This window comes from Homo sapiens, chromosome 13 (genome assembly GCF_000001405.40).
Source record: "Homo sapiens chromosome 13, GRCh38.p14 Primary Assembly".
Lineage (NCBI taxonomy): Eukaryota > Metazoa > Chordata > Mammalia > Primates > Hominidae > Homo > Homo sapiens.
The window spans coordinates 23,105,474-23,129,825 of record NC_000013.11 but is presented as its reverse complement, the minus strand read 5'-3'; the positions used below and the strand labels follow the sequence as shown (position 1 = coordinate 23,129,825).

Below are 24,352 nucleotides of genomic sequence, written 5' to 3'. Positions count from 1 at the left end.
ATTTAGCAGATTTTGATAACTGCAGTCTGGACCCTAAAGAAAATATTTAGCTCATTCAATGGTTTCCAAAAGCAGCCACTCGCATCAAACATTCCGTGAGTTTGAGAACCATTTCAAGATTTGGGGGCTCTGAGGAAGGGAGAACTTCAGGAAGCACTACCCCTTTGCCACCTCTCTGGCACCGTATGCTCTATCTTCTTTTTCCCTCTCAGTCCTCCCCTCTCCCAAATTTCTCTCTAGAGTTTCAAATACTTCTTCCTCTCTTGCGTAGAATGGGTTCCTCTTTCTCCAGAAATTCAGCTCCAGTCAGCATCCAGGCTCTGAGCCAGGAAGGAACATAACTTCTACCCTAGAACTTTCCTCTACAAACACATTAAGCTACTCCTCTGAGCAAAAGCCTTCATCTTAGCATGATCCGTCTTACTGATGGTTTTAGAAACTTATGGTAATACTTGATCCTTTTATAATTATAATAGACTTTTATATCATCTTTACGTTTTCACTTAACTATATAGATTAAGCAGTGAAAACCTTAACAGAAGTCTGGCTTTGTAGATTAATACTTATCTGCTGCAGAATACCCCTACTCCTACTCCTTCCTTTGAACAATCATCTTGTATTGACAATTCAAGGTAAGTGTATGGGATTTATTTTTGCTACTTGTGCATAGGCTATCACTTCCTTTTTTTTGCTATGAGAATGCTCTATTAGGCAAAACCACATACTATTGGGTCTGGAATTGGTGGGTTCTTTGTCTCACTGACTTCAAGAATGAAGCCGCGGACCCTCGCGCTGAGTGTTAACAGCTCTTAAGGTGGCGCGTCTGGAGTCTGCCTCTTCTGATGTTCAGATGTGTTCGGAGTTTCTTCTTTCTGGTGGGTTCGTGGTCTCGCTGGCTCAGGAGTGAAGCTGCAGACTTTCACGGTGAGTGTTACAGCTCTCAAGGTAGTACGTCTGGAGTTGTTCTTTTCTCCTGGTGGGCTCGTGATCTTACTGGGCTCAGGAGTGAAGCTGCACATCTTCGCGGTGAGTGTTACTGCTCATAAAAGCAGCGTGGACCCAAAGCATTAACAGTAGCAAAATTTATTGCAAAAAGCAAAAGAACAAAGCTTCCACAATGCAGAAGTGGACCCGATTGGGTTGCCAATGCTGGCTCGGGCAGCCTGCTTTTATTCTCTTATCTGGCCCCACCCACATCCTGCTGATTGGTAGAGCTGAGTGGCCTGTTTTGTCAGGGCGCTGATTGGTGCGTTTACAATCCCTGAGCTAGATACAAAGGTTCTCCAAGTCCCCATCAGATTAGTTAGATACAGAATTTGGACACACAGGTTCTCCAAGGCCCCACCAGAGCATCTAGATACAGAGTGTCGATTGGTGCATTCACAAACCTTGAGCTAAACACAGGGTGCTGATTGGTGTGTTTACAAACCTTGAGCTAGATACAGAGTGCCGATTGGTGTATTTACAATCCCTGAGCTAGACATAAAGGTTCTCCACGTCCTCACCAGAGCAGCTAGATACAGAGTGTCAACTGGTGCACTCACAAACCTTGAGCTAAACACAGGGTGCTGATTGGTGTGTTTACAAACCTTGAGCTAGATATAGAGTGCCGATTGGTGTATTTACAATGCCTGAGCTAGACATAAAGGTTCTCCACGTCCTCACCAGAGCAGCTAGATACAGAGTGTCGATTGGTGCACTCACAAACCTTGAGCTAAACACAGGGTGCTGATTGGTGTATTTACAATCCCTGAGCTATATATAAAGACTCTCCACGTCCCCACCAGACTCAGGAGCCCAGCTGGCTTCACCCAGTGGATCCCGCACTGGGGCTGCAGGTGGAGCTGCCTGCCAGTCCCGCGCCCTGTGCTCACATTCTTCAGCCCTTGGGTGGTCGATGGGACTGGGCGCCGTGGAGCAGGGGGTGGTGCTCGTCAGGGAGGCTCGGGCTGCACAGGAGCCCATGGAGGGGTGGGAGGCTCAGGCATGGCGGGCTGCAGGTCTCGAGCCCTGCCCCACGGGAAGGCAGCTAAGGCTCAGTGAGAAATGGAGCGCAGCGCCGGTGGGCTGGCACTGCTGGGGGACCCAGTACACCCTCCACAGCCGCTGGCCTGGGTGCTAAGTCCCTCATTGCTCGGTGCCAGCAGGTCGGGCTGGCTGCTCCGAGTGCGGGGCCCGCCAAGCCCACGCCCACCCGGAACTCCAGCTGGCCCGCAAGCGCCGCCCGCAGCCCCAGTTCCCGCTCGCGCTTCTCCCTCCACACCTCCCTGCAAGCTGAAGGAGTGGGCTCCAGCCTTGGCCAGAAAGTGGCTCCCACAGTGCAGTGGGGGGCTGAAGGGCTCCTCAAATGCCGCCAAAGTGGGAGCCCAGGCAGGGGAGGTGCCGAGAGCAAGCGAGGGCTCTGAGGACTGCCAGCACGCTGTCACCTCTCACTATGAAAATGCTTTGAAATGCAACAGGAGGAGATGTGAAGACACAAAGAACAAGTGTGTAGTGACACATGGCTATCAGAACACACTAAAGAATCCACACTGCTTCCCCTCTATCTAGAAAAGGAAGGCTCTAAGTCACCTCCTCAGCAGGAGGAGGTATTTATTCTTACTAAATATAAGATAGTTATTACACCTACAGTTTCTATCCTATTTAGAGTTTATTTGAACTTTGAATTGTGACAAATATTTAATGTTTCTGGTCACTTCTTTTGAGTTTGAGCGAAGTACAGGGCAAAGAATGTATTCAACTCAGACAAAAAAGCCTGACATTTTGTCAGCCTAGCTCTGCCACTATAAATGTTGAGTCCTGCATCTCTCTCAGCTATGGTTCCCAATAAGAGAATTGAACTCGAATAAGATTCTAAAGACTAGACTTCAGCAGTCTTTGAGATTTTTAAACTTATAAAGAAAATTTTGTGAAAGTGGGCATTATCTGGACAGGGTCTGTAACCTTCATAAAATTCTTCAAAAAATTCCTTTTTTTAAAAGTAACTTCATATCCACTGTGTCAGATTCTCTTTCAGATATCTTTGCATTATAACAGTCACTTTTGAAAAGTGGATTAAAGGCTTTGAAGCCTCTAAACTGGGCTGGAAATTTAGGAGGTCATATGGCTTAGCACACTACAACATATAGACATTCAAAAATATTTTATGAATGCATACAAAATGTTATTAAATATACTGAGAATCTGGCAGTAAATATGGTAGGAGACAAATAGTTGTAAGTTATTATTTCAGTCTTTGTATATAAGAATCACTTTTACATACATATGAATTCGTAACATGAAATAACTTGAATTAGAAGTCACGAAGTTTCTTGGTTATGGGGTTTTAAGCTATGTCTTTCTGCAATATATAACATGTATATTCAGTTAACCTAAAACTTTTTTTTTTTGGAGACAGAGTCTTGCTCTGTCACCCAGGAAGGAGTGCGGTGGCACTATCTCGGCTCACTGCAACCTCCATTTCCTGGGTTCCGGTGTTTCTCCTGCCTCAGCCTCCCGAGTAGCTGGGATTGCAGGTGTGTGCCACCATGCCTGGCTAATTTTTGTATTTTTAGTAGAGACGGGGTTTCACCAGGTTGATCAGGCTGGTCTTGAACTCCTGACTTTGTTATCTGCCTGCCTCGGCCTCCCAAAGTGCTGGGATTACAGGCGTAAGCCAACACATCTGGCCCAATTCAGTGAACCTAAAACTTCTTCACCATGAATTGTCATGAATAGTTTTCAAAACTGACATAATTTCATATTGAAACTATAAAGTTTTATTACCTTTAATGATGAAATAAACTCTGAACTTTTTCAAATTCTTAATTTATGTTATAAAGTTTTACTCAGTGCTCTTTTGTGGTTTTTGAAAAAAAATTTTTAAATGCTTTAAAATAATCCGTAACAGAATAATTATATTTTTTATGTGGAGAAAATAGGTGTAATATGGTTTTACTGTTCACTTTATTGGCTTCAATTTGAGTGATTTAAAGCAAATTGCCCAGACATGTGGCTCACACCTGTAATCCCAGCAATTTAGGAGGCTGAGGCAGGATGATCACTTGAGGCCAGGACTTTCACACCAGCCTGGGCAACAAAGTGAGACCCCTATCTCTATTAAAACAAAAGCAAAACAAATCAAAAAATCTACTTCACATACTTTGAAAGCATTTTAACCTTGGTTTTATATTTGTTGTCAATTAAATACAATTAAGCAGATAGTCAAGCGGTACCTACTGCTACATGTTGTAAAAATGTGCTGGCCAGAAGAGAAAAAACAAAAACATTCCATGTGGGAAATTTCTCAGACCTGAGTTTAACCACTCACTTTGGAGAATAAGCAAATGAAAGGTAGTGTCAGATTTCCAATGAGGAGTTTTTAAAAGAATATAGTTAGGATTTCATACACGGAGAAAAAGTAAAGTGAGAAGCATGTTGAATATAATTAGATTGTGTTACTGAATATGTTAGTGAAACTCCAGGGGTTGGGACTAGGTCCTGCTGCTCAAAGCACAGAAAGCCAATAACAGAGATGAAGAGTACTGCCAAGGAAGAAGCCTTTCTTCGGTTGCTGCAGCCAAGGACATGGGGGCTCAGTCTCTCTAATCATGTCTCTGACTAAAATTAGGGGTTCGTATAGCAGCGAAAAAAATGTAACAATGTGTAAGAAACCGGAACTAGGGAGGAGCAAGAAAGCAATCATGGTGAATGAGGGGCCTAGACTCTCATTGTCTGGATGTGATGATCTGGTGAGTTTCAGTTCTTTGATACTTTTTGTGAGAGGCCTAAATTTCATTTGCTTAGAAACGAGCTCAGATAAAACAAATACAAGTTTCAAGCTTTAAAACCAGAAGGATCAATTTATATGCTTATCAAAAGAACTATATATGGTACTATTGGGTCGGTTTCAGATATGTTAGGTTTGGAATGGATGGTGAATTAGAGATAATTTTGTGCTGTTCCCTGGGACATGGGCATGAAACATTTATGGTATTACTCAACTTGGTCTTGTTAAGTAAGCTAAAACGATTTGTACAGGTGACTCTTCAGACTTAACTTTTCCTTTAATACAAATAATTAAAGTTGTGGTGCTAGCAGCAGTGAACTCTCACCATCCTGGCAGGTGTCCTCACAATTACATCCAGGGCTGACAACATCCTTCTGAAGGCAGCTCACTCCAACTCTGGGCTATTCTGCTCTTGGGGGGAATCAGGGCTGGCTCTACTGCCTTCTTTTTCACTTTGCCCATTACATTTAATAAACTGGGTTTGCTTTACATTGTAAAGTGCCTGCTGTGGAATTCTCAATGTAATTGCTTCATGAGGTTAGGTTAGGAAGGCTGAAAATAGAAAAATTTTAATTTGTTTACTTACTTTAGAAGTTAGCAGAAACATGGCTACTACTCTTAATTTGCATTTGCTCAGCAGGCTGGAGGTGGGCCCAGTTATAAACAAGTAAATATAATACACTAGTGAGTTTAAGAATCTTGGTAGACTGCAGAAAGAAATGACTAAGAAATAATGTTATTGGCTGGGTACGGTGGCTCACGCCTGTAATCCCAGCATTTTGGGAGGCCGAGGCGGGTTGATCACGAGGTCAGGAGATCGAGACCATCCTGGCTAACATGGCGAAACCCCGACTGTACTAAAAATACAAAAAAATTGGCCGGGCGTGGTGGCTCACGCCTGTAATCCCAGCACTTTGGGAGGCCAAGGCGTGCAGATGACGAGATCAGGAGATGGACACCATCCTGGCTAAAACCGTGAAACCCCGTCTCTACTAAAAATACAAAACATTAGCTGGGCGTGGTGGCAGGCGCCTGTAGTCCCAGCTACTTGGGAGGCTGAGGCAGGAGAATGGTGTGAGCCCGGGAGGCGAGATCGCACCACTGAACTCCAGCCTGGGTGGGAGAGCGAGACTCTGTCTCAAAAAAAAAAAAAAAAAAAAAAAGAAATAATGTTATAATAGAGATTTGCCTTTTGAAATAGATCTTGGAGAATGAATTGAAAATGACCAGGAAGAGGAGAAAAAAATGATTAAGTCAAAATTGGATCAGAAGGCCAACCTGAAATTAGTAAACTGTTTGTTAAATTCCTTAGCACTTTCTATTCAAATCCCTATCCCATGGACCCAGTGGTGGTCGTAATTTTGCATGCAAGATTAGAAACAGAAGTGTAGGCCAGGTGCTGGTGGCTCATGCCCGTAATCCCAACACTTTGGGAGGCCGAGGCGGGTGGATCACGAGGTCAGGATCCTGGCTAACACGGCGAAACTCTGTCTCTACTAAAAATACAAAAAATAAGCCGGGCGTGGTAGCAGGCGCCTGTAGTCCCAGCTACTCGGGAGGCTGAGGGAGGAGAATGGCGTGAACCCGGGAGGCACAGCTTGCAGTGAACTGAGATTGTGCCACTGCACTCCAGCCTGGGCGACAGAGCGAGACTCCATCTCAAAAAAAAAAAAAAAGAAAAGAAACAGAAGTGTAAGAAAGTTTTTGTTTGTTTGTTTGTTTGTTTTCATGTGGTGGTGCCTTCTGCACAGGCTAAACAATAAAGTAACATTTGGATTTAGGAGCCATGTTGTTACTGATTCTATTTTCTTTGCCCTTATTTTTCTTTACCTACTTGATTTGAAAACTTAGCTCACGAATTTTCAATTTTTGCATCTTAAATTTTTTTATTTAAGTTGATTATATTTTACTACCATTGCCTAGGATTTGATATATTGAGTTTATTAATTTTTTTTAATCTTGGGCATTCAGGTCCTAATATTTTTTCCATTCGAATCATAATATTTTCATGAACTTATTGGTTTTTGGAAGTACATTATTAATTGTTTGAACAAGAATTAAAATTTCCTAAATCTATATTTTTATAATTTTTTTGGTTATTGGAACTTTAATTTTATTAGTTTTGGGTTAGGTACTGAGGTTTGCATAATAAGTGCTCAATATTTGTGGGGAATTATTTTGTGGCTAGTTCTGAGTCAATCTTTGTGACTTTTATGTTTCCTTAGAAATTGTGGTTTCAGGGCTCTCTATATAAGACTATCATGTTAAAAATATAATTGCATCATTCAAATCTATATCCTTAGTAGTATTCATTTTTGCTTGTTAAGTCCATTTTCACTGAAGAATTACATATGTTCAGTTTCTTTTTTCTTTATCCTTTATTGATAGGTTTTAGTAGGGTCAGGATTGCTATATCTTTTTGGTAAAATTTTCCTCTGTTATAAATCTTCTTATAGCTAATAATATTTTCATCTCAAATTTTATGTTATTTGAAATTAACATTGATACAATGGTTTTGTTGGTGATGGTATTCGCTTGTTGAATATTTTCAACTTTTATTGGCCCCTTGTCTTTCTCTTTCACAATGTTTCAGGTCATCTTTGTAAATATCAACAGATTAAAAATAAATTAAATAAATAAATAAATAAATAAATAAATAAACCCCTGCCGGGCACGGTGGCTCACGCCAGTAATCCCAGCACTTTGGGAGGCCAAGGTGGGTGGATCACGAGGTCAGGAGATTGAGACCATCCTGGCTAAAACGATGAAACCCCGTCTCTACTAAAAATACAAAAAATTAGCCGGGCGCCTGTAGTCCCAGCTACTCGGGAGGCTGAGGCAGGAGAATGGCGTGAACCCAGGAGGCAGAGCTTGCAGTGAGCCGAGATCTCGCCACTGCACTCCAGCCTGGGTGATCTTCAGAAAGAAAACCAAAAACCCGACCTTTACTGGAAAATTGAATCTATTTCTATACACTGATTATTAATACACTTAAATTTATTTTCACTATTTTGCGTTTTCCACTTACATTGATTTATGTTGGAATAATTGTGTTTCCTTTGTGTATAACATGTCTGTTTCCATTATTTTAGCATTTACTTTCCAATTTTCAAAATGTTTACTGAATAGAGTCTAAATCTAATCAAAATATCTACCCTTCTTTCGCAAAAAACAAGAACTCTAAAGTATTTTAGGTCACAATTACTCCTGCCAATACCCTTTTCTCAATTATTCCATATTCACTTTAAAAAATACCCTGTAGTTGTTGTTATTGATAGTCAGTGATTATTTAAACTCATAAACAGATCAATCAGTTGCTTTGCATTCCAAGCCTTTCTTCTGGGTTCCATTCACTTCTTGTTGAAGAACAGCCTTTGGTATTTCTTTCTGGGAAGTTCTATGAATGGTAAATTCTCTTTGTATTTGATTTATCTGAAAATGTCTTCACTTGGTTTCACAACTGGATAATTATTACCTGAGTTTAATAATGCTAAGTTGGCTCTTGTCTTCCCTAAGCATTTTGAAAATTATTTTCCTCCTTTTTGACATCTACTATTAATGAGGAGTATAATTACAAGTTATAATTTATTTGTAGATGATCTCTGTTTCCTTTACTTACTGCATTTTGAACTTTGTTTTTGTCTTTAGTGTTGTGCGTTTTGTGACGTTATATTTAACGGTGGAGATTGTATTTATTTTATCGCTTGGAACTCATCATGTTCATCTTGCACCAAATTGGGAGCTGGACTTGAACCCCTGCAAAAAACTAGATGCCTCAGAGGGGTTACACTAGCTCTAAAAAAGGGACTCAAAAACATAATATAAATTTATACTAATTCTCCCAGGAAATGCTCATTTCAGAATTCTTATCCTTCATTTTGAATAAGATTAGTTTCAGCAAGGTCAGTGACCTTGCCTTAAGTCACAGAGTTAATGCGTGGCTGGGTCCAGCTTTGTTTCATATCAAAGCTTGTGATCTTCCTTTTCTGCATTGATTCCCCGTGCATTATACAGTTCTCTGTGTCCTCATTTCCCCCTAGGGGAAATTTCCCCAACAAAAGAAAGACCAATCTCAGGAAGATCATTTTTCCAGTAAAAGTGAAGGCTTGCTATACATCAATTGCTTTGAAACAGTTCTATGAGTTTTGACATTTGGATAATATTCAAATCCCTGTTCAGATGTGGACTATTACCACCACCCCCAGAAAACTCCCTGTGTGCCTACCCCTCATAGGCAACCACTGTTCTGAGTTTTTATATTAAGGATTAGTTTTCTTATTTTAGCAGTTTATATAAATGGAATCCATACAGTGTCCGTTGTTTTGACTAAGCCTTCTGTCACCCAGCATAAGGCATTTGAGATTCTTTCGTGCTGTTTGTATATTAGAAGCTTGTCCTTTTTTATTGAATAATATTTCATTGAATTAATATAACACGATTCTAGGAGAATTGCTAAGCCATGGTATGTGTGTTTAATTTTATAAGAAACTACCCAATATTTTTTTCCAGAGTTTTACTATTTTACATTCCTGCTTACAATGCATGAGAGTTCCGATTCTTCTCATCCTCACCAATATTTAGTGTTGTCAGTCTTTTTAAATTTTAGGCAGTCTAATGGGTATTTAGCTATATCTCATTATAGTTTCATTTGCATTTCTCTGATGACTAATGATGCCCAGCAATTTTTCATGTGCTTATTGGTCATTTATATATGATGCTTTGTGAAGTATCTATTCAAGTCTTTTCCACATTTTTTAGGCTGTTTGTCTTTTTATTACTGAATTGAAGAAACTCTTTATATAGCTCATCTTTGTCAGATAAACGAATATTTCCTCCCAATCTGTAGCTTTCTTATTTGAGTTTTTAAGGTTTCTATATTTGAGCAGATTTATTTTTCATTTTGAGAAAGTATTTTATGGTTTTTAATTTTGGTCTTCTACTAAAGAATGCTTTGCCTGCCCCTATGTCATGAAGACATCCTATTTTCTTTTAGAAACTATACTGTTTTAGCTTTATTTTTCAGTCGATAGTCCATTTTGAGTTTGTTTGTTTGGCTTGAGGTAGGTGTCATGACTCATTTTTTTCTCCATATGGACATTCGGTTTTCCCAGCTCTGCTTGTTTTCTTCTCCCTATTGCATTGCTTGGGTGACTTTCTTAGAAATCAAAAGTCAGTAGAGACATGGGTTTATTTCTGGGCTCTCTTTTCTGTTCCATTGATCTACTTGTCAATCCTCTGCTAGTATCACATAATATCTTGATTACTACAGATTTATTGTTAAGTCTTGGAACCAAATAGTACAAGTCTGCCCACTTTATTTTTCTTTTTAAATATTGCATTGAATATACTAGATTTCTGCATTCTAGATGGTTTTATATTAATTTTAGAATCAGTTTGTGAATTTCTCTACAAAAATGAAAAATGCCAAGCAAGATTCTTATTTGGATTGCTTACAATATAATTAAGATTTAAAATTCATTACAATAGCAATAAAGGCACCAATAAGTGGAACTTGACAAACTGATTGTACTTACAATGTAAAGAGCCATGGAAAACCAAGACAAATTGAAGAAGAAGAAATGAGGTTCATCAAATCAAATATTAACACTTGTTTTAACAGTAGTATTGTGTTATAGCTAGGGAGACCATAAATAGATCTAAAAGTATACGAAAATATAGGATGGAAGAACATAACACAGCAGTGAAGAAATCTAGACTCTTCAACAGATTGTGCTGAGGCAGTTGACTTGTTACATGAAAACAAGTTAAAATAGATTCTATTCTTACCTCATATTCTGTACTAAAATAAATACCAAACGGTCTGTGATCCAAATGTAGATACAAAAATTTAAAGTATTTTGAGGAAAACAGCCGAATAAGCTTGATGACTTTGTGATAGCAAAGATTTTCTTAAATGAGACATAAAATTACAATTCATAGAAGACAATGGCAATGAATTTGACTACATTTACCATGAACATTTCTATGAGTCAAAAGATACCATAAAATGTAAATAATGCTATGCATTATTATATACGTAAATTTATTATATATGTAAATTTATTATATACGTAAATTACAAATAATTATTATCTGGAAGATGTGAATAATGCCTCTAAAATTAGCCAAAATAACTACAAAAAGGCAAACAGTACAACTGACAAATGGACACAATAGATTGTCGTAGGTTGTCTCCAACGGTGGCCACCATCAATTCCCGCCTTCCCTCTTCATGTGCCTGCTGCTCCACTCACTGAGACATGGGCCCTATTTTTTTCCCCTTGAACCTAGGCTGGCTTTATGCATTGCCTTAACCAATAAAATACACCATCAGAAATGATAGTGAATAAGCAATTGGCAGAAAAGGAAATAAAAAGGGCCAACAAAATGAAAATATGCTCAACTTCACAATAATCAGAAAAATGAAGATGGAATACCTAATGATGTCATTTCACACATGTTGGACAGGTACATTTATAAAGTCTGACAATATGAAATGATGGTGAGGGTGTCATACACTGCTGGGGGAAACAGAACTTGGTCCAGACACGTTAGAGAACAAGTTTGGAATATCCAGACAAAATGAAGATGAACATTTGTTCACACTCAGCAATTGCTGTTCTTTGCATATGCCCTGGAGTAATGGAAACATGCATGAGAATGTTTAGCTTGACATTGTTTATTAAAGTGAAAAATTGGAAATCAACTAAATGTTTATCATCTGGATAAAATACATTTGTGGTACTTTTATACAAATAAAAAAGTAACATGTAGCATAATCACTTCCTTTGAATGCTTTTACAGGTGCTGAGCGCAATTCAAAATTGTTTTCATGTATTATTTTATTTTATCCTCATCATACCTCTAGGAGTACTAATCATCATCATTATCATCATCATTGTCCTCATTTTACAGAGAAGTGAGTGAGAGAGCTGGGATATGACTTCAGGAATCCATATTCTTACTAACTACATTATGCTGGTTTTGGAGAATTGTAGAGGACCTCTGAGGAATCTTCCTGAGGAATGCTCTTTGCAAAGCTCTGCTCCAGAGGTGACTAGATGATGGCACACCCCTGTTCTTGCCTTCCTGGCCTCCTGTTAATATGCAGTCTCTCAGACCAAGATTGATTCCTAGGGTACCTATGTGAGAAAAGGCAGATATGTGTACAGACAAGAGAATGGTAGCTTACTTGGGACGATAAACTGCTTGTTATATAAAATTTTTGAGGGTTGTAAATTAACATTGCACACTCTGAAAAAATGTAATTTTATTAAATTAAAGGAATAACATAGACTCTTGAGTGTAAGAAGAGATAATAGACTTAATATAAACAACCCTAATAACATATTGGCTTGTTGTAAAGGTTCAATGAAATTGTTTATCAATTGCCTGGTGCATGGTAGGCATTTGATAAACATTCTCATCTTTAAATTTTCTGTTTACAGTACTTTTGTTTATTTTAACACCTCAATAACCCACGGACTTTCATAGAAAAGCCCTTGAGGTCTGAATTTATGAATTTGTATGTGCTGATTTCAGCATGTTCTAAGTATACAAGCAAAGAAGCAAGAAATAATAATGGTTTTGAGTAGTTGTGCAAAGTCAGCAGCCAGAGAGATGTCTAAGAACAAGTAAAAGTTTATTAATAAGTAGGGGAAAGTGGAGGTCACTTATTGGCCAAGACCAAATAAATTTCAGAGATAGTTAATAATTCCTATCAGCAGTATACCCTTGAAAATAGTCATGAATTTCTGTCACCTTGATAGAATATTTGTTGCTGTTTCAGATGATGGCGAACAGCACTGAACAAAACAAAAACCTCAGCCACCATGAAGCTCAGCGACAGACAATAAACACATACACAGGTAAAATATATGTCATGTCAATATTGAGAGAGAGGGTGACAGGTGTCTTGCTGGAAAATAAAACAGGAAAAGGTGTTATGGTGTGAGGATGGTGCCAGGAATTACAACTGAAAATTAGGTAGGAAGGTTCCGTGGAGAAGCGGCATTTGAGTAAAGACCTGAGGGGTGGGTGAGAGTGAGGGAAAGACAATTTCTGAGGAGAGAGAATAACAAATATAGAAGAATTCCTGTTAGTTCCAGGAACAGCAAGAGGTCAGTTTGCTTGACTGCAGTATCCAGGAAGTGAGTGGAGACGTGGACGTCTCAATCACGCAACACTTTGCTAGCCACTGAAAAGACATTGGCTTGTTTCTGAGTGAGATGGAAAACCATGGAATGATACCTCATGGACTGGATTACATTCCTTCCAAATTTGTATGTGGAAGCTCTAGCCCCCAGAGTGAATGCATTTGGAGGTCAAGCCTTTGGAGAGATAATTAAAGTTAAATGAGGTTCTATGATTGGAGCCCTATTCCAATGGGACTGGAGCCCTTATTAGAAGAGATTGAGACATGTGAGAGATCACAGGGATTCACGTGCTCAGAGGAGACCATGTGAGGACACAGGGAGAAGGTGGCCACCTGCAAGCTAAGGAGACAGGCCTCGAGAGAAACTGAACCTGCTGGCACCTTGACATTGGACTTTCAGCCTTCAGAACTGTGAGGCAACGTTTTACTTGTTTAAGCCACCTAGGCTGTGGTATTTTGTTATGGCACCTCTAGCTGATGTATACAGATACTGATAAGCTGGTATAATCTAGCTTAATTTTTAAAAATGGCATTCAGACTGCCTTGTAGGGAAAAGAGTGCAACGATAGGAGTAGGGTGACAGACGTTTATTGCAATGGTCCAGGTGGGAGGGGACAGTGGCTTGGGCAGAAGTGGTGGTCATTGTGGAGGAGACAGCAGTTAAGGCTACTTTTTACAGTTGGTGCAGTCTGGTGATGGGTTGGACGTAGGGTAAGAGAAAAAGAGCAGAGCTAAGGAGAATTGCATATTTTGGCCCCCAAACAAATGGATGTCTGGAAAAGCAAGTTTAAGGGGACAGATGAGGAGTTTGGTTTTTGGACATTGAGTCAATGCAGAAGTGTCAAGTAAGTAGTTAGATAGATGAGTCAGGAATTGAAAGGAGAGGCAGAGATATAAATATGGATGTTTTAAGCCATGACACTGGATTGGATCAATAAGTGATGGACTGAAGTTAGAGAGAGAAGAGGCTGAAAGCCTAAGCCAGAGGTCACTGGTGAACGCCAATATTTAGAGTTTGGGGACATGAGGAGAGAGAGGCAAGTGCTGTGAAAGAAATAGCTAGTGAAATGGAAGGAAAATTAGGAGAGAGTACTCAGGGCCATATCCTAGAGCTATGTGAACGTGGTGTCTTTTGGATCAGGGAGTCGTCAACCAGTGTGAGTTAGGCTAAAAAGTCAGTGGGATTATAGCCCGGAATTGGCCACTGGATTTAGCTTCATGGAAGTCATTGAAGAGTAGCGGAGTGGTAAAGGCAAATGTTCAATTAGAATAATTTCAAGAGAAAATAAAATGAGAAGAATGACAGATAATGCATATTAATAATTTTTTCAAAGAAATTTGCTGTAAATGGCACTGGATAAATGAGGTGATAGGAAGAAAAGGAAAAGACTCAAGAATAATTTTAAGATAAGAAAAATAATGGATTATTTTAGCTATAAATCCAGCAAAAAATAATAACAAAAGACTAAGGTACATGTATCAGTTGGTGAGAAGTGTCTTTAGAAGATGGAAGACTAAACTCAAAATTCAGAGAATTTGCAAACACTCGATGGTGAGAGGCTGGAAATTGGTTATTGATCATCAGAATTAGGCAGGCCTAGGCTGAAGTTGAGACTCTGCCTCTTTTAGCCTTAAGTAATTTGTTAATGTCTTTACACCTAAATTTTCCTCCTTTGTAAAATGGCTGTTGTGAGCACTGAATTAGAGAATGCATGTAGATACCTAGTCTCTGGCATACATTAAGTGCTCCATGAATGCTGTTTGCTTTTATGAGTGCCTCTTTCTAAATGAGATAAAAATAGAAACAGCGTGTTTTAGGGGGAAGCTTTGGTAATTCACTAGCAGAAAGTAAGATCACTATTAGTTGAAAATCACTAGTAAGACAGAGGGCTTGAATGAAGCGGTTTCTGGCCCCACAGCACTTTGACAGCAGAGAACTGAGCCACGGAAGGAACCCAGCAGAAGTCATCTGGAAAGCCATACTAGGAAATGATAGGAAAAAGTGGGTTTTGGCTAAGGAGAGCTTCTAAGAGGATGGTGGAGGCAGCACCTTGGCGCTCCTGATGGAAAGGCACCACCGGAGAACTAAAGAGCCGCCCAGCGACAGACAGGAAGAGGAACCCCAGACCAGGGGCCCGGACTCACCCACAGTGGGAGAAACTGCTTCCTCGAGCTTTCTTGATTGGCTGACTGTGGAATGATTTTAGCCACTGAGAGTGAAATTTATGGATCTGAAGAAAGATGCCATTTTCTCTGAGGGGATTTTTGGGAAGAGCAAGCTTCAAGGGTGAGGAATTTATGTCTTGGAGCATCTGTGTTCATAGATAGAATTTGAGTCCCATTGATATGATACTTACATATATAAACCCCTCAGATATGAGATATATATAATCTTCTGCTATGTATCGTATATATTCCTGTGATATGTATTCATATATATTAATATATATTCATATATGTATTTATTATAGGTCTCTCCAGAATTGCAATTTTTGGTAGAATATGTCTTTCAACTTCAATGCTGATTAGATCAAGCTAGAGCTGGCAAAAAAGCAGCTTCGTAGGGGGTTTCCATCTACTGTACTACATTGACTTTTAAGATTCTCCTGGCTAGGCGGCCTTTCCATGTCTGTGCTCCTAGTAAAACTCTTTCTCTTCTTCAAGCTCTTCCCAGCTCCTCATCCTCTATGAGGTCATTTTGGATTCCTCTAGTTCTTACTGAGGGTATTTTCTCTAAGCTATTGATTAATTATTTGCATCATGTGATTTCAATGTCATATGCCATTATATATTTCACAAATTATTTAGTCACTTTTAGTATCTTGCTTGCTTCTTTCGGTGTGTTCATCTAGCTAGGTTTGAATTCCCTGAAACAGTGATCATGTCTTAACTTTATTTTGTATTCTTAACTGTCTTGAGACAATAAATGGTTAAAGCTTTGGTTAGGTAATTGGCTTATGTGAAACAGAAAATACATTGTACATGATCTCTATAATAAATTGTGCAGCTAAATTTTTGCTTTAAGAAATAATTTGTTTCAACACTTCTAAAATGATCTTTTAAAGAGAAATGATTATCACATTGATATTATAGATGTGTTTTGCTGAAATATTTTTCTTGTTGCTTTATAAAATAAATCACACATAAGAACGGGAAATTTTTTTCTGAACAAATGTCAACAAAACATTGCTAGTAATTAGAGTACTATTCTATTCTGAGAAATAGAACAGATTCAAACATGAGGCATCAAGATAGAGTGGCATCTGGTGGAATGGTATCTCAGTCAGCCTTTCCTGTGATTTTTACAAGAGTGGTAATTTCTTTTTTTTCTTTTTTTTTTTTTTGAGACAGAGTCTCCCACTGTCGCCCAGGCTGGAGTGCAGTGGTGCAATCTCAGCTCACTGCAACCTCTGCCTCCCTGGTTCAAGTGATTCTCCTGCCTCAGCTTCCCAAGTAGCTGGGACTACAGGCGCGCACCACCACGCCCAGCTAATTTTTGTATTTTTAGTAGAGACGGGGTTTCACAATGTTGACCAGGATGGTCTCGATCTCTTGACCTCATGATCTGCCCACCTTGGCCTCCCAAAGTGCTGGGATTACAGGCGTGAGCCATGGCACCTGGCCAAGAGTGGTAATTTCAATAATTGAAATTATTTAATTAAATTTTTCATGAGGCTCAAACTTCCTCAACATTTTAAGGCCATTTCCAAGGCAAATTTCAGACATTTGTTATACTTTCCCTGTTTCTCTCCATATATGTTTTTCCAGACATACGAGAATTCTGTTGTGAATCTCTTCAAAAAAGATGATAAAAAGTAACATTGAGGCTCCAAATAAACACTTCCTTACTGAGCAGTTTGTTCATTCACTCAACAGTCATTTATTGAATGCTACTGTGGGCCAGATGGAATGATGCTCAGGATGGAGAAGGCAAAGTCCCCAACGTTAGCAAATTCATTTAATAAATGAATTAGAGGTTTTCAAAGGTTGAAAAACAATGCTTTGTTAATTGGTAGTGTCAGGGAGAGTTCACAATTTTAGTTATGGTTTCTGCGTTATGGATTATTAACAATTCAGCTGTAGGAAAGTTCTAAAATTACATGTTACTTACTCTCTAAATCTCTCTGTTTTGGGCCTTCTTTAAAATAGTAAGATACTTTCCCTACATAGTTCTATTATGAGCTTTTTTTATGCTTAGCACTTCTGGCACCAACCAATCAACACCAACCAAATCTCTGAATTTTTGAACATCAACTATATGCCCTATATTTTCTTTTCTTTTTTTTTTTTAAGATGGAGTTTCGCTCTTGTTGCCCAGGCTGGAGTGCAATGGCACAATCTCAGCTCACCGCAACCTCCGCCTCCCGGGTTCAAGCGATTCTCCTGCCTCAGCCTCCAGAGTAGCTGGGATTACAGGCATGTGCCACCACAACCAGCTAATTTTTTGCATTTTTAGTAGAGACAGAGTTTCTCCATGTTGGTCAGGCTAGTCTCGAACTCCCAACCTCAGGTGATCCGCCCACCTCGGCCTCCCGGAGTGCTGGGATTACAAGCATGAGCTACCGCGCTCAGCCTGTATGTCCTATATTTTCATTTAGTTCCTATGCTAATTACCTGGAGTTAGTGCTGACCCAGCAGGCTGCCTGTACTTCACATGCCAATGCAAGTATTGGGTGCCTGGGCAACCCACATTTTGTCCAACTTGGCTAGAAAGTCAGGGATTCCCACCGCCCTCCTCTTAGGTTAATAATTTCTTAGAATGGCTTACAGAACTCAAAGAAACACTTTACTTAGCAACTACTGGTTTATTATAAAGAATATTATCAAGGATACAAATGAACAGCCAGATGAAGAAGTACACAGGGCTTGGTCTGGAGGAGTCTCTGCATAGGAGCTTCTGTCCCTGTGGAGTTGAGGTTCACCACCCTACAGCATGTGAATGTGTTCACCAACCCAGGAACTCCAAGTCATGGAGGGGTTTCATTATGTAGGCATGATAGATTAAATCATTTGCCTTTGGCGATTGAACTCAACCTCTGGCTCCTCTCCTATCCCTGGAGTTTGGGGTTGGGGCTGAAATTTCCCACCCTCTAATCATGTCTTGATCTTTCTAGTGAACTGTCCCAACCTTGAAACCCTCTGGGGTCCCCAGCCACCAATCACTCATCAGTATATCAAAGACTGTCTTATTACTCTGGAGATCTCCAAGGCTTTTAAGAGCGGTATGCTGGGAACTAGGGACAAAAACCAAATATTTATTTTATTGTATCACAAGCACACATCACACTTTAGTGTACTATCTGCTCCTCTCCACCTTTGACTGTAAGCTCTGTAATTACCGGGTTCACCACTTCATCACCAATGTGCATCAGTGGCAGGCACATACATACTAGTTCTGTAAAAAGTGTTTGGTTAGTGAATGGTTGCATGTATGACTAAAGATATGCCTCTGTAAGACCTGTCACTTAAAAGCTGTCTGCTCTTAGAATGTAGTTACAACTTTATGATTCTCTCCTTCATTTAAAAATGTCAGTATTCCTGAAGCAAAGTAAGTCTTTTTTTTTTTTTTGAGATGGAGTCTCGCTCTGTCGTCCAGGCTGGAGTGTAGTGGCGCGATCTCCGCTCACTACAAGCTCTGGCCTCCTGGGTTCACGCCATTCTCCTGCCTCAGCCTCTCGAGTAGCTGGGACTACAGGCGCCTGCCACCACACCTGGCTGATTTTTTGTATTTTTTAGTAGAGATGGGGTTTCACCGTGTTAGCCAGGATGGTCTCGATCTCCTGACCTTGTGATCCACCCGCCTCGGCCTCCCAAAGTGCTGGGATTACAGGCCTGAGCCACCGCGCCTGGCCAAAGTAAGTCTTTTAATTGTGTTTGTCAATTTCCACATTTATCCCAGGGTCCAACAAATACCTAATTTAACTTGAATACTAGTAAGGTTTTTCTGTAGGTATTACTGTGTCTCCTTGCATGTGTTTTGCTGTTCGGAAAGTTTTCTGTCATAATTCCCATGGACGTGGGGAGGTCTCCAATTTTACCTGGATTTAAATGATTTAATAGGATATGACCAGATGTGCTCAAATAGTTTAAACAATATGTATTGTGCTACCAGCTGTGCCTCTATTAAATCACCAATTCAAGGTAATAAGTATGCTGCTGTTGTATGTTCACTTTCATTAAAATCTCTAGGCAATTCATCTTTATTAATTTGTCTTTTTTCCCCTCAGAAAATGGCCAAAATTCAGACTTCCTGTCTTCTGTAGAATAAACATCTAATAGCTCTTTTGACGGCAGTCTTCATTCACCTTGCAATGGAATGACGTATTTTTCTTTGTATCTTTATCATTACTTAATATTTATTGTATTCATGCTTATAATTCACATACATTGTAGAAATTTTAAAAATAAAGTATAAAATAAATTGTAATCCCAGCACCTGTAACATTTTAATGTACTTTTGCACCTTTTTTTCTATGCCTTTAAAACGATCTTTATTAAAATTTCCTGTTCAACTACTCAGCTGTAAGAAGGAATGAAATAGTAGCACTCGCAGCAACCTGGATGGAGTTAGAGATCATTATTCTAAGTGAAGTAACTCAGGAATGGAAACCAAACATCGTATATTCTCACTTGTAAGTGAGAACTACGTTATGAGGATGCAAAGGCATAAGAATGATACATTGGACTTTGAGGACTAGGGGGAAGGGTGGGAGTGGGGTGAAGGATAAAAGACTACACGTTGGGTAAAGTACACTGCTTGGGTGATGGTGCACCAAAATCTCAGGAGTCACCATTAAAGAACTTATTCATGTAACTAAACAACATCTGTTCCCCAAAAGTCTATTGAAATAACAATAAGAAAAAGGAAAAACAATTCCCAGTCAGCATTCCATCTTGCCAAATGACCAGTGTCATTTTGGAGAAAGCAAAAAATCATTTGTTAAAGTTAAATCCAGGTACAGTAAAACTCCTTTGTGTCCCGTGTGCATTAAAACATTTCTATTTCCCTTTGCACTCCATGGTTCTCTATCTCTACCTGCCTTAAATTTTTGAAGGTTAAAATCACTGGAGTCACACAGGCAATAACTTCGGGGGTTCCGTTGTCCATTTGTGCATGGGAAAATATGCAAAGCCATTTTCCTATTGAAATGTGGCATTATCTTTGGGCAGGTAACTATGTCTCCACAAGCTTCTTGGCTTTCCTAAGGGCAGCCAACCCCAATCCAGCTCCAGTGTCTTCATTCACAAGTCCTCATTCAACTCTCAATGCTAAATGTGTACCTTCCAAATACTTACTGGATGTTTTTAGCTTTTGTCTCCAATATTCATCAAATCTTGATTGTAAAGATGACAGAGCCTGTTTTATGTGCACGATATTCTAAAATATGGCCTTGAACCATGTCAGATCATTAGAGAGCTTGTGGTTATCTGTTCCATGCTGACTCTTGTAGAATTAAATTTAATGAAATCAAAATCAATTTGATGCCATCAGACCACGAGGACTCTTAGAATACCCTATGAAAACCCATCATTTTATCTACTATAATGTCTCTGAGAGCATAGTTTGTTACATAATAACGTTCTTATGAAGGACTCAGAAACAGCTGTATTTCTCTGCAGCTGGTTTGTACTTACCTTGTGAAGTTTATGAGTTGTTTATCTGGGGGACGTTTCCTTTCTAGGTTGGATGCTAAAGCTTTGTGCAGAATAACTTCAGGATCTCTGTTGTCTACTTGTACATTAGAAAAGCTGCAAATAATTGTCTTAATAAAATTTTGCTTTGCCTCTGGGCTTCACTCTGTTCTGTCCCATTTTCCCACTCTTATTTTTCTTTAGTTCATATCATTTTGTGGTATTATAAACCTTTCATTATAAGCATCTTATAAGCTTTCTTTAAAGGCTTTTGAAGGGAGATTTTTAGCTGAATAAATAAACTGACTTCAAGATTTTTTTAAAAAAAATGACATGTAATTGGAAACCTGGTAACTCCATGGAATTTGGTTTCAGAGTGTTGCTTTCATTTTTCATATTTTTGTGTATATTTTTGAGAGTAAATATATAGGATGGACTTCAGTTTTCTAACATCATGAATGTGAGTTGAAATTTATAGTCTTGGCAGATGTTTCACACATGACCACCTCCACCCACAAATAATATAATCCTAGAGTTTGAAAAGGACTCTTCATGTCACAGAAGTTGAATTACAGGCCTTAGGGAGCTTGACTAAGGTACCTTGGGTTTTGGCAGGGGTAGAATTAGAGCCTTGGTCCTTTGACTTCAGCTTACTCCCCTTCCGCTGACATCTCTTTTCAGTAACTATCAGTTCCATTCCCGAAATATTTCATGAATACTTGAAACATCATGCTAAGCACCAAAAGTTCTCGATCCCTCAAAGTCTTCTATCTGGGAGGAGGTAAAATGAAAACCAAATACTAAAACCTCGAAAATCTAACACACCAATTCTCTTAAGCATTGTGGTGAGTGCTATGAAGTCTCAAGAAAATAGATCTCACCTGTTTGAGAAATTGAGAAGGAACCACATAGTGGGAGGGAGGGGGCGGTGGGAATCTTGGTGCTGCGTTTTATAGGTTGTTTTCCGATTGGCAGAAGTTGAGGGTAGGGAACAGGGTGGGCAGGAAAACTCAGATGGTGAAGTAAAAGTGAGAACACACAACACAGCCTAAGAGGAAGGGGCCCCCGCACACCTGGAGCACAGGAAACTGTCTGGAGTCGGTTTCTGCTGTGGTCTTGCTGACTTCCAAGAATGGAGTCCCGGATCGTCACAATAAGCGTTACAGCTCTTAAAGATAGCAGGTGAGTATTACAGCTTTTAAAGATGGTAGGGACCCAAACAGTGATGAGTAGCAAGGTTTATTGTGAAGAGCCAACGGACAAACCTTCCACAGCTTGCAAGGGTATCAGAACGGGTTGTTGCTGCTGGCTGATGGTGTGGGGGGCAGGCAGCTTTTATTTCCTTATTGTCCCCTCCCATGTTCCGTTTCTGTCCTATCAGCGTTTCTGTCCTATCAGAGTGCCTTTTTTTCAATCCTTCCCATGATTGGCTACTTTTAGAATCCTGCTGATTGGTGTATTTTACAGAGTGCTGATTGGTGCGTTTTACAGAGTCCTGATTGGTGTGTTTTACTGAGTGCTGATTGGTGCGTCTTACAATTCTCTTGTAAGACACAGGAAAGTTCCCCAAGTCCCCACTCGACCCAGGAAGTCCAGCTGGCCTCACTTGTCAACATGAAATATAGTAATGTATGCTTCTAGTGGGTGTTCACCTTCGGTGAAGACTGCTGGGGTCAGACGGTGGGAATCATACAATCAATAAGTGAAAGCTGCAGAATGCTAAAGTACCTTAAATCTATGCGGCTCACCTCTCAAAATGCATCCAAATTACCCAGGGATCTTTAAAGTGCTGCTTATGACTCCGGCCTCAGTGAAACTGAGGGTCAGCCTTGCTGGCATGCTCCCGACTGACCCCAGCGCTGGCCAGTGGCAAGGCTCTAAATTCTAGTTCGTAGTATTGGTGCCTATTAATGCTGCTCCAAGGAGTACTTCTTGATCCTTTGTGTTTAAAAACGATGTTTTCCCAATCCCCAAGGCCCACAGGGCTGGAGACAATTCTTCTGCAAATAAATTACATTTTAATGTACTTTAGTCGTTGGAGTTCTATGTCTAAGATTTTACTTACAAAAGTGGAGTGGATTGCAAACATAACTTGCAACCAATTACTTTGGTCCTAAGAAGCCATTAAAAAGTTTTGAGAATAAAAATAACATGGTCAAGAATGCATTCCAAGAAGATAGATCCGGCGGCAGTAAGTAGGGCAGATTAGAAGGGTTGAAGAAGTTAAACCTTTTTAAGGTAATATTCCATCCTTGTAACGTGTTATTAGGGTAGTGGTATCTTTGGATAAGATGGTGAAAATGGGTATTGAAAGGAGAGCTTGATTTGAGAAATATAAGCAGGAGTAGGTAGTGTATCGGATATAAAAGTAAAAATAAAAATCGGATTTGAGCAATCTTGAGGATTTAAGTTTTTTAAAAAAGGAGTTTGGATTTCATCTAATTCCTGATTGTGGTGGACACTTATCTCTGTCTACCCATCTCTTTTGCACAGCTTCCAGGGACAGGCGGGCCCCATGCCCATCTCACCATCCTACCCCACACCCTATCGCAGTAGAAGATTCCGTTCCTTCTCTATTCTTCCACGTTCCTTTTTACAGCACTTAACGTGTAATTGTGCTTTTTCTTTCTTCTTTTTTTAATTCATAAGATTCCATCCCTCATTTGGCAAAGCCTTTCTCGGGCCAAGAACAGGATTTATTGTTGCAAACATAGGGCCCTGCATCTGGTACTTGAAAAATGTTTTTTGAATGAATAAGTGTAGAAAAAGACAGCATTTCAGCTCCTCATCTGCCTGAGGCCAGGCATCCAGGGGTACCCATGTTGAAGCATCAGTTGCTTCACGCTGATATGAACTGAGGCCCTGGGATGTCAGTGGGAGGCTGAGAAGTTTGGAGTCGGGCAGATCTGCCATTTACAAGTTATGTGACCTTGGGTAGTTATTTAACCTTTCTGGGCTTTTGAGATGGGTAAAAGCTCTATAACTTTCCTTTAAATGGAGATAAAAATGCCGTCTTTCTTTAAAGACAGACTTTGTTTTGCTATGTAATATTTTACATTTTTTAAACTGCCACCCAGGGATATAACTGTGAGTAGATTTGAGTACTTAAGTGGACCTTGAAAATGCAATAGAACAACAGCAATTTCAGAAGGCATATAATCATACAAAATTATTGACATTGGAAAGGAAAAATAGAGACAATTTATTTTTCATCATGACACTAAGTGTCCATCAAAACATGTACAAATCTCCCTGAAGGAAAAGAAAGACATTTAGTGCTGTGACCATCCAAGTCACCAAATTTAAATGTAATAAAGAGAATCAGGAATGAACTCTAAGTAGCTGTCATGAAAATGTATAACAATAAAAGTCTATTGAAACAACTCCATATCCCTACCTACAAACAGCTCTCTACTAAATGTAAGAAATAGTCACATTATTTCTTAAAGTATAATAATAATAAAAATTTAAAAAAAAGAAATAGTCATATTATTCCAAGAAGATTTCTTCCTATAATAAAATGTCACAGTGGATATAGAAAATGTAAAATGCTCACCTTCAAAACCTAACTTTTGGACTGAGAGGCTTTCATTTCTTATCGCATAGGATAGAACATTTTGAAGCCCATAGTATTTGAAATGCCATTTATATTCATAATAGTCAGTACTTTTAAATTTTTAATAGGTACTTTCATTTCTAAAGAGAAGGATTCATATATAAAGACCATCACACACTTGTCAATATAGAGTTTCCAAAGAGTAGTTAAATAAATACATGAAGAGAATCCTTCATATTTG

General features: G+C 39.4%; 1 long non-coding RNA gene across 1 annotated transcript; it reads left to right on the top strand.

Annotated features, from left to right (window-relative positions):
- Positions 1–207: 207 nt before the first annotated feature.
- LOC105370112 (uncharacterized) lies at positions 208–15,076 on the top strand. Its single transcript, XR_001749786.1, has 4 exons — positions 208–632; positions 11,684–11,821; positions 12,558–12,636; positions 14,843–15,076. It is a non-coding gene; the product is annotated as an uncharacterized LOC105370112 (long non-coding RNA).
- Positions 15,077–24,352: the final 9,276 nt, after the last annotated feature.